The sequence below is a fragment of the Homo sapiens genome, chromosome 9 (genome assembly GCF_000001405.40).
Source record: "Homo sapiens chromosome 9, GRCh38.p14 Primary Assembly".
NCBI classification, from domain to species: Eukaryota; Metazoa; Chordata; class Mammalia; order Primates; family Hominidae; genus Homo; species Homo sapiens.
This window is the reverse complement of record NC_000009.12, coordinates 97,628,254-97,644,248: the sequence shown is the minus strand read 5'-3', so window position 1 is coordinate 97,644,248 and position 15,995 is coordinate 97,628,254. Positions and strand designations below refer to the sequence as shown.

Genomic DNA, 15,995 nt, shown 5'->3' with positions numbered 1-15,995 from the left:
TAAAGAGTCTGGACTTTAATCCTATAGCCTGATGGGTGTCCAAACTTTTTTGATTGTGTACTCAGTAAAAAAGAATTTGATCACATATCTTCAACACATACATATGTATTTATGATATACACTGGATCACCATTAATCTATGTATTATTAGTAAGGTTTAATTTCATTTCCACTTAAGATAAATAAGAGTTCTTAATATTCACTTCCTGAAACCCAAGGAATCATCTTGTGCACCAGGCTTTTAAGACCACTCACTGTAGACAATGGGAAGGAACTAAGGTTTTTTTAACCAGTAACCAACATGTGCAGAGCCTAGTTATAGAAAGACCAGTCTGGTGCCACTGTAGAACACAAAGTGAAAAGCAGAGAATCTAGATGCAAAAAGATCAGTTAAGAGGCTATTAAGAACATCTGGAGGAAGGCATAAACTATGCTAGAGGCCCTGGAGACTAAGAAAGGACAGACTTGAGAGAAATTAGGGAGACAGAATTGACAGGGATTGGGAACACCTATGGTACGAGAGGGCAAAGGGAAGACAAAAATTAATGCTCAGCTTTCTAGATGGGTTATTCAGTACACAGTGGCCACTGTATGAGCTGGGGAGAGGGCAGAAAAAAGGAGGTATGAATGATGCATTAATTTAGGCACTTCCTAGTAAGGTATCTGAAGGCTATGCAGCTAGCATCTGGAATACTGGACTGGAGCTCAGGAGAAAGGTTGGAGATACAGTTACAGATTTGGGGGTATCGTCAAAATAAAGGTGGCTTATGAAGCTATGAAAGTGAATGAGAATGTTTTAGGAGAGCATTTTAAATTATTTGGTTGTAGTTCACCTTTTCCCTCCATCCCAACAGTAGTCATAACATACCAACAAACAAACTAACTTACCAAATACACGGCTTCATTATAATTGTTTGCTTTCAATGATTCTTTAAGTTGACGAATCATGGCTTCTACAAATTCTCCACCAAAATTGTAATTCCTGGCATTCAGTAGTCCAACTAATGTTGTATAAATTGTCAGCTTCTCAGGTAATAGGCGTGCACTGATTTAAGAACCCAGTATAACAAGAAAACCCCAAAACAATGGCGTTAAGTTGCTGAATTTTATGTGAATCTTTTTATCATTCCATTAACTTTGGAACAGGATTACTTTTAGCTATGTCTTTAAAAATACTTCAGAAAAAGCATGTCATTGAGAAATGTTACAGACATAGTCCCGTAATTTTTCATTTTAATTCATCAGTTAATCTAAGAGTTAAGAAAGTAAATGATTTAATTGTAAAGTTATCATACTGAAATAAATAAAACTAATGCTACAACAGTTTTTCTTCAAGTGTGCTTAGTGGAACTGAATAGCATTTCCACAGAACATGGTTTCCATGGTAAAATAGCTCAGAAATCCTGGGTGAAACAAGCCTCTTTAATACAGAATCATTAAGGGGGGGCGTGCAGCATTCAGAATTTCTAAACTTAGCTAACCAAATGTCATGGAACTAGAATTCTACTTTGAGAAACACTATTCTAGTTGTTTAGAAAAGATGCACAATTAAAACGAGTTTCATCTAAGTTCCTACCAGTTTAATTATTGAATTTTTTAAAAACATACTCTGATATAGTTAAGATTTGTTTACGTCTCAGTTGCTTACTCCAAGTGTGCTGATTTCATTAAAGTTATTTTAAAAGTATGGGAAAGGATTACAATAAACCTTTAGAAAAAGCAATTTTTCCTAATTTAGGCAGCCTTTAGAATTAGCTCAAAAAGCAATAAGAATTCATAATCATTAAGTGGGCAAGAGATTCTCTTTGACTTGTTTTCCTAAAGTACCTAGCAGAACATCAGGGACAATCAAGGTCTTCAAAAAAAATACCTGTGTTGATGGTAACTGTGGTCCCTGAAACCCTCCCAAAACCAAAAATTAAAAAAGAACACTGCGAAGCAATACAAGTTCAGCCTTAAACAAACAAGGCTTCCAACAGTTTAAGTGTAAATACTACTCCATTTTAATAAAGGATTTCAGAAGATTTCCTTAGTAGTTTCTTAAAGTTACCTTCACTTGATCTAAACTAAAAGGCTGAGAAGTGATAAACATCACCTTCATAATTTAAAAACACCTCATGGATACATTACAATTTCATGTAACTACAAAGACTCCCATTTATCCAGAGAGTATGCCTATTAACAGTGGCTTCCAAAGCATCTTCAGTCTTCCAAGAAGGGCTATTACCTGAGTTACCAATTCCCAAATTTGTCTGGTACTAATTTAAAAATGTAAGTATCATACATTTAAATGTACATGCTTAAAAATATATATCTGAATGAGACAGTATCTACTATCTCTATAAAAAGTCAACTAAAATGATTCTAAGGTTGTAAGAACATACAAGGAAAATGTTCAATTTTAGTTTTATCCCTAAGAAAAAGAGTTCGCCAAAGCGCCAAAGGTTGGCTCATTTGTACAAATTTCCCCATAGAAGTAAAGCCAAGGACATATAGAACATAAACATGTATTTTGAACATTTCCCAAAGCATTTAAGAGTAGATAATACATTATCACCTGGATTCATAAATCTTTTGCATACATACACTGTACAAAGAAGCCTTAAGATCTTGCTCTTGTAGTTAGGAAGATCAGCTTCCAAAACACCAGCCAAGCCTTCTAGGTTGCTCTCCAAAGAGCAGGCACTCTGTAGAGGACATCACATTAAATATCTGTCAAGTACTCAGCAACATAAATTTATTTTTAAAAATCTATTTAAATGTAAATATATACATATTTTAAAATCTATCATTTTAAAATCATTACCAATCATCTGTCCTTTCAATTGCTATTTTAGTGAACTAAAATAAAAACTTCTGCATGATCATTAAAATAGTCTTACATGCATACAGAGCTATAATGGGTTTAGTATAAATCAATTCAGATAGTTATTGTTCTTCAGAAATCCATGAAAAGTGGACGAGTGAAATTTAAAAACTAAGCAGTCTATGATAACAGAATAAGTATTAGAAATGGGAGGACACCATGGGCTCCATTTTACCTCTTTTACTAATTCACTCTCTTACTCTGGGCAAATTACCTCAAGTATTCAGGGCTGATTTAGTTCATGCATAAATTAAGGGGTCTATACCCTAGGTCCCTTCTAAGGGCTCATCTTCTATGAAAATTATTAATTACTAAAGTACTAAAAATGATCAATTATCTACATCCCAGGGGCTTCAACATGGATTCAATTTGGGATACAGATGCATGGTAATACCAGCTTTGCCAAAATGTAGTCCAACTTTTCAGCTGCAAAAATTAATCAAAGCACAGTTAACCACATTCTTAAACCCATCACAGCCTGTGCCTATTGTGTGACATACCTTTTCTCCTACTTTACATATTAAAGATTCCAAATGATCTTCAGTTTCATTTGCATCAGAGGTCTTTCTCCTTTTGTGAGGCTGCCCACCTATTTCAGCAACATAAAAAATTAACATTACATGATAAATCTGCTATCACAAATTTTATTTAACCTTTTTAGGTTATAATCTCTTTTCTACCAGGCCCTATGTTTTTACAGAGTAGAAGCTCTTCACAGACCCTCCATTTCTCAGACTAAGCTAGATTAACCAACAGCCTCCCATTCCCAGAGCCACTATATACAATAACTCCAGGAGGCATTATTTATGTTAAATTTTGTGTGAGTAGTGCCCATGGAGCTATGCAATCAGCAGCCCTGTCCATTTCTGTGGACAAGCTGGAAAGCTGCCAACAACATGTTAAACACTAGTAGTTAGAATACTCATGTACCGCTACTCCCATTCTTTTAACTTGAGTTGTTTACTGATCCTCAGTTGCTTGTTCCGAAACCTGTTAGTACCAGTAGTATTCATTAGTCTAATAATGTATTATGTAAATGACAAAATAAGGGTGCAAAACCAAGTCGAATGCTTTGGAAAGACTTGATCAGAAAAAAAAGCTGTCATATCAGCTATAAAGAGGAAAGCTTCAAAAGATGGGAAAAAGGAGCATAAAACATTAGGATTTCTCACTTGCTTCACATGTTTCTAAGCTCTAATCTCAAGTCTTCAATTAACAATTTCAGTTCTGCATATGATGCAGCACAACGGTATAGTTTATCCTAAATAATGGGAACGACAGTCAGTATACGTATATTCAAAGAAAAGTCCTGAGCACTATATCAAAAAATTGGTGGAAAAAAGGACCACGTTTTACAATTCCTGCTTTAACTAGCTTTTATTAACTGAATTACTGATAACTGCTTTATTTAAAAACCATATCATTCGAATAATCTCTATGTTTTTTAAATCTACCATTCTAAAATCATTACCAAGCATCTGTCTTTTTGATTGCTCAACAATTCAAGTTGAATGAAGGTGTGCTAAAAATTAACCTCAAACACCTGTCTATTAAGACCCTTGCTGTTTGTATCTCTTACCACTTTGTTTAAAGCCTTAACACACTCACCTAAGTCCTTTTGTGGTATAACATAAAGCTTAAAAAATTAAAATAATAGTGTTAAGTATGGAACCTGATGCTGCTGCTAAACACTTTGGCTAGTCTAATACAATCCAATTTTCGACTTCCATTGATTCAATTATTTGGTCGGCATATGGACAAGAAAGCAAGAGCCTGTAACTGTGCAGGGAATCGGTATTAATAATGAAAATCTGCAGTTGGATATATGGTTACACAGTAGCAAGTTACATATAACTTCAATCTTCAGATCTGAACAGCCAAAGGAATTATTGTTACAAAGTTCATAATCACTTACTTGCCTATGGAACACTTGGCTTGAAAATGATGTATGGTGATTCTCATAAAACACAGCACCTGGCTATTCTAAGCTTGGAATGTTAAATCTATTGAATGACTGAAATGATCTTCAGATACCACATGAACTGAAGCTGAATAAAACGAATCTATTACTATCCACATAGGATCTGAGGGGGGGTATTATAAAGGTTACAGGGTAAGACACTCTGTACGTCAACTTCCCAACCCATTAATTACCATGATAACCTGACTGAATGTCCACTGACTATAATTTTGAAAGGATAATGCCACAAAAAGTATAATACGCATGCAGCATGAGAGCTGAGATGTATTTATTCCTGGAGATATCTGCCTGTGTAAAGTTGTAGACATGTGTGGCACAGAGGTTCAGGGACCTTGATTCTTAAGTATAGATCAAACCTAAGTCACAGGACCTATCAAGGTTCCACCACCCAAAGTGCCAAATTTCACACAAAGGTCTTTCATTTCCAGGATTCACTTATTGAAAAAAAGCATAATTGATGTAATATTTACGCAAGCTGCCAGCTAGGACATTCAAATAGCCTTCTTCTACAGCAGTAGTTCTCAACAGGGTGTAGATTTTGCCCCCAGTGGTCATCTGGCAAACCTTGGAGACATTTTTAGTAGTCAAAACTAGGGGAAGCAACTGGCATCTAGTGGGTAGGGGCCAGGCATGCTGCTAAATATCTCACGTTGCATAGGGCATCTCCCAAAACAAATAACTGGCCAAGAATGTCAATAGTGCTGATGTTAAGAAACCGTATTCTAGAAAGCAGAGCTCCTCAGAACCAAATTTCAGTGAGGTTGGGAGAATGCAGATGCTGAAAAACTAGCTGAATGAGAGCAGTTATTTTTTGTTGCTGTTTTTTAAACCTTAAGCACACTGTTCCCTTCTTTCTGGCTCATCTATTTTGCCAACCCTTTATTCCACCTCTACAGTCTTCCTAACTTAACTTTCCAGCTGGCTTGTTCCAGTTTGGAATCATACCACAGCCTTTAAAGCAACCCTCCTAGGCCCTCTTATAAGCTTGAAAAGGGGAAAATAGTGCTGTGGGAAGAGAAGGTATGATTTCTGAGAAACAACTAGAAAATACATGTACATAGTCACATCTCTGAACTGCAAACCCTTTGTTCATTTTGGCTATATTAAAGGACAATATTTGTCTGGAGAATGGGAGGAGGCAGAAAGTATTAAGAGGTAAGAAATGTTCCACTTTCACCTGATAGTTGAGAGACTATAAAGGGGTGAAGACTACAGACAAAATCTGAACTTACGAACAGAAACATGATATTGAACTCATAAGACAACCTGGGTAAGGGAACAGGGAAATGAAATAAAACAATACGAATACAATTTGGGGAATTCGCTCAATGTACCCTGAAGAAAACGTATCTATGGTAGTTCCCAAGGCAAGAACAGATTTTTTATTAAAATTTAACTATGTAAAAGTTTTAAAATGTAAATTAAAGATAACATTACCACTTCACTCAGACAGACTTGGCTAGTATAGAGAAGCAGGTATAAAATCCATCTGAAAGGATCTTAATAAACCAAATAAATTTCCCCTCTATAAGTCAATCCTAATTTTATACGGGTACACTGTACATCTTATAGCCTTACAAGAAATTTTAGACCCACAAAATGGAAAACAAAAACCAACCCTGTAAAATAGAAAAGTAAAGTAACTAAAACCAACAACTTCAACATTACGTTTTTAAACCTTAAGCACACTGTTCCCTTCTTTTTGGCTCATCTATTTTGATATTGAACAACTTGAAAGATAACATGCCTTGAGCCCGCAGACTTAAAACAGGCAACCATCACTTCTGAAATAAACTATACTCTCTCAAAATAACAAATCCTTTCACTTCTATTTTTTTCTTTAGTTAAGTAAAAAAATCAGCCACAGTCCAAAAGACAAGGACCTAATTCTAAGAAGCTTAAATGGGGCTAATACAGCAAATCTGAAATTTTTGTAAATTGCCCAAATTCCCAAAATTGTATTCGTATTGTTTCTAGCTAAGATTTTGAACAATCTAAATACTTTCTTAAAAGAACAAACAATGGACTGCATATCCCATAGTAACTAAAAAGCTTCAGAGACATTTTTAAAGCAAGTCTAAGCAATTAGTTAAGATTTAGCACTGGACTAGTATCCATACACATTACTTTCCATTTAGCATTTCCTTTTCCTTGTTTATAAATGGACTACTACATGAACTTCATTGGTATAGCCTCCTAATCCTACCCCCCTTAATCTTTGATAGTCGAGTCTCAACACAGAAGTATAATTTTATAATCTCCCTATAAGATGCAACCCTCTGCTATCTCTCTAATCTTATCTCCTACAACTTCCCCCTCACTCACTCTGCTCCAGCACCACTGGCCTCCTTGCTCTTCTGTTAACATGACAGGAACCCTATAGTCTTCAGGCTTTTGTGCCCATGGTTACCTTTGGATCACAGCTTTTCCCCATACAGCTATATGGCTGCTACCTTACCTCCGGCAAGTCTTTGTTCAAATGCCATTCACACCGAAGCCTTCTCTAATCAACTTACATAAAATAGTAACTTCTCCCTCACAGAAATCTCTCCCCTCTTTACCTGGTATCACTCCATAGCGCCTGTCACTATATGATACACTATACTTTACTTGACTGTCTTCTCTCTACTCTAGAGGGGAGGCTCTATCTTTATATTGTCCACTGCTGTATGGCAAGTAATTAGGACAGAGCTTGGCACTGTTAAGTATTTGTTGAATAAATGATTTTATATATATATATATATATATATATATATATATATATGTATTACTTTCCATATGCTTGCTTCTATATATACAGTATATAATTATATGTAAAATATATATTAGAGTATATATTTATATAAAACTTATAATAAACAAACTTATATAATATATAAATATAAATTTATAATATATAAATATAAATTTATATAATATATAAATATATATAATACATTCTATTATAGTTTATATATATACACACACTCTATATATAGAGAGTCAAGCATACGGAAAGTCAGGGCAGTGACTGACAGCAGCTGACAATTGTCCAGAAATGCTCAGATGCATCTATTTAATTCTGACTGTAATAATTCCTACCCTATTTTAAAATAGCCTTCTATAATCCTTAAGCTTCTAAGATTTATTTTTTAAAAAATAGATTTTTAACTAAAAGGAAAGCATCCAAAATAATCTGATTCAGATCACTGTGTAGGGTAAACTCCAGCGATCGTTATCCAAATTGTGGCAACTGACAAAAATTTCAGATTTGCTGTATTATCAAACATGAATTGTATCTGCCTCTCCCACACTAAAATATCAACCATAAAAACCTTTGCTTAATGAATGCTTTGTTTTACTTGTCTTATTTACTCTGAGGTTCTCGCGGCAAGACCCAAATGGACAGTGATTTGGCTGCCAGCTGGTGTTAAAAACAAGCCAACTCCAAGAAAGTTATGTAAGTCTCCCAATAACCAAAGCAAAAGTTATTTTTCTACATATTAGCATTCCAATTCTCTAGGATGCCCTACAATGACATTTCCTCTCTCTTTAGGGATTACCTCTAAGTGAGAAAAAGGAAGCATTAGAACAACAAAGAAAAGAACAAAAGACTCAAGTTCTCCAGCCCCCAAGTAATGACTTGAGAAGTATATTAGTTTTTGACTAGTCAATTACAAAGCATATGAAAATTGTATTATCGGCGGGCGCAGTAGCTCACATCTGTAATCCCGGCACTTTGGAAGGCCGAGGCGGGTGGATCACCTGAGCTCAGGAGTTCAAGATCAGCCTGGGCAACGTGGCGAAACCCCGTCTCTACAAAAAATACAAAAACAAAAAAAAAATTAGCCGGGCGTGGTGGCCCGCGCCTGTGGTCCCAGTTACTTAGGAGGCTGAGGTGGGAGGATCACTTGAGCCTGAGAGGCGGAGGTTGCAGTAAGCCGAGATCGCGCCACTGCACTCCAGCCTGACAAAGAATGACACTCCGTCTCAGAAAAAAAAAAAAAAGGGAGGGAATTGTATTTTCTGTGCCTTGTACAGAGGTTACACAAGAAACCTCGTGTTAGAAATCAAAGCACGCAGCATAGTTATTTAATTTATACCTGTGTAGTGAAGAGAGCCCCGGACTGGATTCGCTCTTGCTGGTGTTTGGGAACTGACAGCTGTCCCTCCATCTTAGTTATGCTCAGTCTCTAGACCCTTAGGTGTCAGATAGAAAGCTGGACTAGAATATCCTCTCAAGCCATTCCTTCGTAGAAATCTGGTGTTTCACTATTAAAACTAAATGCATGCGATTCTGCCTCCACCTCAACTGCCACAACACTCAAGGAGAGACAAACGTTAGTAGATAAAATTTACTCAATTTAAAATGTCTGTTATGGGTTTTTTTCTTACATTGACAGCATCTGCTAACGTTTACCGCCTCTTAAGCGTTGGCAAATGATAAAACATCATTGTTGCTGATGTGTATTACCTCATTTAACCTTCACAAAAACCAGAAGATATAAATATCATTACTTCTGTATTACAGACTAAAGTTTAAGGAGATTTCATAACCTGGACAAGATCACCAAGTAAATGGTAGGGTCTGGCTTTGAACCTAAACCCTCTGGTTCCAAAGTCTCATCTCTTAACCACTACTATACACTCTCTTCAAAAAACAATACACTAAAATGTTAACAATAGAATTACTCTAAGTTTTACTTTTTTGGTGTGTGGATTTGTGTTTTTGACCGATTGTAAGGCTTATGTGTAATATAAGCATCTTTTTTTTGTTGTTGTTAAAACTAGAATTATTCCATCTTTATGAAGGCAACACTGATCTCCACGAGCACAATCATCCAAACGGAGATGGGAACCCCTGTTCTAACTCTCTCAGAGGCCTGAAGTTAGTTTTCTAGCACTCTCTCTCACACAAGGGAAATGCGCTTACGGCCAGTTCAAAATCTGCAGTAACCTGTGTCTGTTTATTAGGGACCTCTTGGGCGCAGGTAAGACAATATTCTTTCCCTGCAGCTTGAAAGAAGTGAAATCAACGGATAACCACTACCGGAACAGAGTTCAGACTGCAACTCATGAGATCTCTCAGTCCTTTCCTTCAGTGAATTCTTCCGAGCCCTTTTCAGGTGCAGCTTTGAAGGTTAAAACGAGACACTAGGACCAGTGGGTCCCTAAGAGGCGGCAGCACAGACACAGGTGTGCTTCCCTGCTCCGTGGTTTTACGGACGAAATTCTGAAGCATCCTTAGAGACCAAGGGTCTACCCATGGGGTTCACCAGGCCTTCTTTCCCGAGGATCGGCCCTTGACTCAAAGAACTGGGGCGGGGGAGAAGTCGCTTTCTAGAAGCCGCCCGACCACACCGCCACCATATTCTCCTCTTTCCCTCCGCGGCTCCCCGCACGTTCCCGGGGAGAAGAGCTTCCAGTCTCTTCCGTGGACACCCAAAGACGCCGAGCCTCGGCTCCCAACCGGGAGCGGCCTCCGTGGCCGGGCCGCAGGCACTCACCGTCGTTCTCGTCGCTGTGCCGCCGCCGCGACATGCTGCCCTCCGGTGCGCCGCGGAACCGAGAGGCCAGGCGGTAAGCGCTGCAGGAACTGTCTGGCCGCTGGCCGACGCAAGGACAGCTGCAAGGCGCGCGGATGGGCCGGCACGCAGGCGCACTAGCTCGCCACGGCCCCGGAAGCGCAGGAGAGGCCGCCGGGTGGGGCTAGGCGCTGCGACAGCCGGCGTGAGGAAGCTCAGTGGGCTACGAACGTCTGGCACACATGCAACCGCCCCCTCGGGCTGCCTCCGCCTGCCGGCTACTTCTTTCTCCCGCCTTCCGCTCTATGTCCTTCCGGGGCCACGCAGAAAGTGCCGCCGCTTTGGCCACTCAGAGCCCCCGGGCCGCGGTCGTCGTACGCCTGAAGGCGGGTCGTGCCGGCGGCCGCTCTAGTCTCCGCCTCCGCTCAGGCCGGTCCTCCGGGGCTTCTCAATGGTTTCCCGGTGGCCTCTCAATGGTTTTCCCGGCGGCCCTTGCGCCGACGCCAGGAGACTTCCGGAGCTTGGTGACGTCACGAGCGAGCTTTTCTACCCAAATACGCGGCGGGGGAATAGGCTCGAGGGCGGTGAGCAGTGACAATTGCTAGGCGGAGACAGTGCAGGGAAGAGAGACCTTAGAAAGGATCAGGACTGGCGGGTATGTGCTCATCTACTCCCACTTTCCGGCTTTTGCCGCCTTGGGAAAAGTGGGAGGAGAGGTTGGGCCAAGCTCGGCATGCGGGGTGGGGCCTGGGCGGGAGGCGGTGCCGCACGTGCCGCCCCTTGGTATGGAAAGGCCGGCCCTGACGCGAGCGTGCGGCTCCGGGCTTGCCGGCTGGCCGTCATTTTCCTTAAGTTGTTTGCTTAGGAAGGAACAAATGATTGTTTTAGTAATCTGTTTTCAAGGGTTATTGGGTACCTATATGCCTGTGTGTGAGCGTCCCCTCCCCTGATGTCTTTATGAGCACCATACTGGCTTATCTGCTTTGTCCATGGCCATCTGAAATTTCACTCTCCCGGCCTAATTCTCCTTCGGTCTTACCCATTTCAGTAAATGACGTCATCCGTCGGCCGCTTAATCCAAAAATTTAGAGTCTTTCTTAGCTCTTTTCCCTCTTTTTACATAACAATTATCTGTAAACCCTGCCTGCTCTGCTTTCAACACAAATCCAGAATCAGATCGTGTTACTGCTTTGTTTAAAAGTCTCCTATGACGGCCGGGCGGGGTAGCTAACGCTTGTAATCCTAACACTTATGGGAGGCCGACGCGGGCGGATCCGCTTGAGCCTAGGAGTTCAAGACCCACCTGGGCAACAAGGCGAACACCGTCTTTACAGGAAAAAAAAAAAAATTAGCTGAGCCTAGTGTTTGGCGCCTGTAGTCCCAGTTACTCGAGGGGAGGGTTGGGGGCCGAGGTGGGAGGATCCCTTGAGCCCAGGAGGTCGAGAATGCAGTGAGCGGTGATCGCACACTGCACTCCAGCCTGGGCAACAAAGTGAGACCGTGTCAAAAAAAAAAAGTCTCCTACGACTTTCCATTGCACACTCCATGCCATGGCCTGTGGGGTTCTACTTCTCCTCACTGTACTCCAACCACTCTTTCTGTTCTTACAATAAGTCAAGCTTGTTCTTATTTTAGGAACTTATACTATTTCCTTTACCTGAAGGTCTCTGGTTCTAAATCTGCGTGGCTGGCTCTTGGTCACTTAGGTCTCAGCTCAAATGTCAGGTCCTTAGTGAGGCCTTCTTTGGTTACCCAATCACTGTTTTATTTCATTCAACGAATATTATATTTATTAGCATTTAGCACCTCCTAGGTGCCAGGCAGAGTTCTGAATGCTGAGGATGTAGAGGTGAACAAAGGAAAACCCCTGCTCTCTTGGCGCTGATATATTCTAACGACCCATTCAGGAATACCCACAAATAGTGCCATCATAGGTAGTGAGCAACGGGAGAGTGGTAGATGAGATCAGAGAGGTAGGGGGAAGGTGCTCTGTGAGGACTTTGGACATTATCCAAGTGAATTGAGAAGTCATTGGAGTATGATTTTTTTTTTTTGAGACAGGGTCTCGCTCTGTTGCCCAGGCTGGAGTGCAGTGGCACGGTCTTGGCTCGTTGTAACCTCTGCCTTTTAGGTTCAGGCAATTCTTGTGCCTTAGCCACCCAAGTAGCGGCAATTACAGACATGCGCCACCACACCAGGCTAATTTGTATATTTTTAGTAGAGATGGGGTTTCGCCATGTTGGCCAGGCTGGTCTTGAACTCCTGGCCTCCCAAAGTGCTGAGATTACAGGCATGAGCCTCTGTGCAGGGCCAGTCTGACTTATTTTTTTAATAGTTACTTCTCATGCTCCCAAAGGAGGAAGATAGTTCAGCTTTTGCAGTAATTCTAGCTGCAAATGATAGTAGCTTGAACTAGGGTGGTAGTAAAGATGGTGGTGCAAAGTGATCTGATTGGATTGTACTTCAAAAGCAAAGCTGGCCAGGCATGGTGGCTCACCCCTGTAATCCTAGCACTTTGGGAGTCCGAGGTGGGTGGATCACAAGGTCTGGAGATTGAGACCATCCTGGCCAACATGGTGAAACCCTGTCTCTACTAAAAAAAAAAATACAAAAATTAGCTGCGTGTGGTGGCGTGCAGCTGTACTCCCAGCTACTCGGGAGGCTGAGGCAGGAGAATCGCTTGAACCTGGGAGGCGGAGGTTGCAGTGAGCCGAGATCACCCCACTGCACTCCAGCCTGGTGACAGAACGAAAACCGTCTCAAAAAAAAGTATTTTCTGAACAAGTGAATGATAGTGTGAGAAAATAAGGAGTCAGGAATCATCCCAAAGTTTTTTTTGTCTGAATAACAGGAAGAATAAAATTGTCTTTTACTCAGATAAGGAAGACTGGGGAAGACGAAAGTTTGGTTTTGAACAGTTGTATTTGAAGCTGAAGCTAGCTGGCTTCACACACAGTGTAAAATTCACACACAGTGGGGTATATGAATTTGTAGTTTGGGAGAAAGGCCCAGGTTGAAGATATAAATATGGAGTCATTTATTATATAGTATTCTAAACAGAAAATTTCCTTTATGTTTCCCTTTTTTCTTTTCTCATGTAATTTTCAAATATTTACAGAAGTAGGGAAAATTTATGATGAAACCCCATGTACTCATCATCAACTTCAGTAATTCTTAATTCATGGGTAATCTGGTTTCATTGATATTACCTCCTCTCTCTCAATTATTTTGAGGCAAATATAGTTTTAAGTCCTTGGAAGTAGATGAGATCACCTGTAGGGTAAGTATAGATAGAGTGGTTCAACATTTAGAGGTTGGGGTAATAAGGAAGATCCAGCAAAGGAAACTGAGAAGCAGGGGCCGTTATCCCTAGCTGGTATTTTCATGATTTGTTTGTTTGTTTGTTTGTTTGTTTATTACTTACTTAATGTCTCTCCTTACCAGAATATAAGCTCCAAGAGAGCAGGTACTTCAACTGTTTCATTCATAGCTGCATTCCCAGGACTATTCCATGGGCCCGGCACATAGCAGAGGTGCCACAAATAATAATAATTCAGAGTATGTACATAAATCAAAATAAGCTGAGACTGAAAAAAGATGCAGAGTCGGAGGAGATCATTTTGGGGTGGTGGGAAAGGCACCCCACACTCAGGTGCAGAGACCTTGAGTCAGGAAAGAACATGGCTCATTTGTGGAACTGGGCATGGTCCAGTGTGGCTAGAGTAGGATATCTGATGGGGAATGGGGAGCATAGTCAGAGATGAGCCTAGAGTATAGGGAAACTAAGTTTTTCAGGCCTTCAAAGGAAGCAGTGACACAGGGTAGCAGACAAGACATAAGTGAAAGGTGACACTTGAGTTCAGTCTTCATATACATAGTAAGCATATGGGGAGGGAAAGAAGTGAAAAAGTAAGGGAAACAAAGCAGTGGAAAGCATAAATGCTGGGACAGACTACATCAGGTCATATAGAGGGAGATTGGAAAAGATGCTGGAGGTGGGACCGGATTGGATAGTAATTCCTTTCGACAATGTTACCTCCCAAATGTACTGCCCTTATAGGTAAATAAGTTATCTGTTTCTAGAACAATGCCTGGAACCTAGAAGACCCTCCATAAATATTTGTTGAATGAATTTTAATTTGGAAATGATATATGTACTTTCTCTACCTTTACAATAAAACAGCTTTGAGCATGGAGGAAGTGTGTTGAATAAGATTCTTCTACTTATTTTACTTCTGCCTGGAAGGCTTACAGGTTTGTGTAGAGTTAGGGATGTACTTTTTTCAGTGGGACTTTATATGAAAGACATTTTCATGAGAAAGGAAAGAGAAGCTAAAGAAGGTAGTATTTCTTCACCCAGTCTCTTCCACTTATTTTTCAAATACAAGAGAATTTAGGTTTAATAAATCTGTATTACCTTGCCTTACCCTTATAACAAAGCTCATTTTGAGCCCCATGAAAGCACCACTTAGCTGATTCAAATGCATTTTATGTGGTGCAAGTGACATCTTAATTTATGAATCCAAGGAACAAAGGTCCTTTATAAGAAAGTTGGTATTGCCTGTGTGTGTCTGTGTATGTTTAGTCTCCATCAGTCCTATCCAGCATTGTTAACAAGCAGTGTGTGTTCCCCCACACATAAACTGCTCCTTGTTGCCTTCACCTGGTTGAGGTACCCTGTAGGCAGAGTTGTGAATTGGCAAAGTTTGTCACCAGTGTCTCCCACCTTCCTTTCTCTCATTCTTAGTGGTGCTTTTTCTGCTCCCTCTTGTGGAGTTTGGGACTACTTTGCATGTTACTATTTTCAGAACCTTCAGTGTCCACCTCTGGCTGCCTCCTTCAATATTGTCCTGAAGAAACTAACTTTGCCAGTTCACTAGTAATATGAAATAACCAGTTGTTATGTTGTGGGGCAGGAATTTGGACAGGGCACAACAGGGACACCTTGTCTCTGCTCTCAGCTCAGAGGCCAATCTGGAATCTGAAGGGTCTAGTGGTTGATGCTGGCTGTCAGCTGGAGGCCTCTGTTCCTCTCCACCTGGTTCTCTGTGTGTGGTCTCTGCATGGGTTGGATTGGCTTACTCACAATACAGTGGTTTGGTCTCCTCAGCGTGAGCATCTCAGAATGAGAGCTTGCACTAGCGTATCCTTTTGAGAACCCAACCTCAGTCATACAGCATTGCTTCCATCACGCTTTATTTTTGGGAGTAGTTAACAAGCCTGCCTAGGCTTAGGGAAATGGACCAGAAATACTGCTGCAGCCATTTTTGGAAAATATAATCTGTCACAGCTAATTTTTAAATAAAATTTTAATGTTAAATTTAAAATACAGCATTCAATTAAAATATTAATAATATTACCATTCATTGAACCCTAGTTTGTGCCAGACACTATATATTAATATTTCTTTCCAGTCTACAGTACAGTACTGTAATGTAGATACTACAATGCACAATTTCCACAAGAGAGATTTAGAACTCAGAAACCTTAAGTAGCTTGCCCATGTTCACATGCTTGGCAAACTGCTGCAGCACAAACCAAAGCCCATACTTTTTCTCAGTGTGCCTCTTAGTGCTTGTCACCTGTCACCTTTGCTTTACAAAAGAACCAACATGGTATGATGGTTGTAGTGTGTCCATTTTGA

The 15,995-nt window shown here is 40.4% G+C and overlaps 2 protein-coding genes across 6 annotated transcripts in view, besides 5 other annotated features; one reads left to right on the top strand and one right to left on the bottom strand.

Annotated features, from left to right (window-relative positions):
- Positions 1 to 10,428, bottom strand: part of NCBP1 (nuclear cap binding protein subunit 1) — a 39,928-nt gene extending 29,500 nt beyond the window's left edge. For 3 of the 5 annotated variants that reach the window (NM_002486.5, NM_001351507.2, NM_001351505.2), the window contains exons 1-4: positions 10,334 to 10,428; positions 3,367 to 3,455; positions 2,587 to 2,687; positions 889 to 1,045 (exon numbers count right to left, since the gene is read on the bottom strand). In NM_002486.5, the coding sequence (NP_002477.1) occupies positions 889 to 1,045; positions 2,587 to 2,687; positions 3,367 to 3,455; positions 10,334 to 10,367 (381 nt within the window). In that variant the 5' untranslated portion in view covers positions 10,368 to 10,428. Of the gene's footprint in view, positions 1 to 888; positions 1,046 to 2,557; positions 2,688 to 3,366; positions 3,456 to 10,333 lie in introns of all 5 variants that reach the window. The other 2 variants (NM_001351504.2, NM_001351506.2) reach the window with 1 other exon arrangement.
- Positions 9,568 to 10,403: an enhancer, noted in NCBI's record as "H3K27ac hESC enhancer chr9:100396128-100396963 (GRCh37/hg19 assembly coordinates)". NCBI's record gives its function as "activates a minimal SCP1, AML or CMV promoter by ChIP-STARR-seq in naive H9 embryonic stem cells {active_cell/tissue: H9 hESC(naive)}" and the evidence as "EXISTENCE:reporter gene assay evidence [ECO:0000049][PMID:30033119]".
- Positions 9,931 to 10,010: an enhancer, noted in NCBI's record as "active region_28673". NCBI's record gives its function as "activates an Ori minimal core promoter by ATAC-STARR-seq in GM12878 lymphoblastoid cells {active_cell/tissue: GM12878}" and the evidence as "EXISTENCE:reporter gene assay evidence [ECO:0000049][PMID:35858748]".
- Positions 10,568 to 10,862: an enhancer, noted in NCBI's record as "tiled region #9871; HepG2 Activating DNase matched - State 1:Tss, and K562 Activating DNase unmatched - State 1:Tss". NCBI's record gives its function as "activates a minimal TATA promoter and a strong SV40 promoter by Sharpr-MPRA in HepG2 cells, with weaker activation in K562 cells {active_cell/tissue: HepG2 | K562}" and the evidence as "EXISTENCE:reporter gene assay evidence [ECO:0000049][PMID:27701403]".
- Positions 10,568 to 10,960: a biological region, named in NCBI's record as "Sharpr-MPRA regulatory region 9871".
- Positions 10,631 to 10,960: an enhancer, noted in NCBI's record as "active region_28672". NCBI's record gives its function as "activates an Ori minimal core promoter by ATAC-STARR-seq in GM12878 lymphoblastoid cells {active_cell/tissue: GM12878}" and the evidence as "EXISTENCE:reporter gene assay evidence [ECO:0000049][PMID:35858748]".
- The window catches only part of TSTD2 (thiosulfate sulfurtransferase like domain containing 2), a 33,289-nt gene continuing 28,174 nt past the window's right edge, over positions 10,881 to 15,995 (top strand). The window contains exon 1 of the mRNA NM_139246.5: positions 10,881 to 11,006. The gene's annotated coding sequence lies outside the window, so the exon portion shown is untranslated. The remainder of the gene's footprint in view (positions 11,007 to 15,995) is intronic.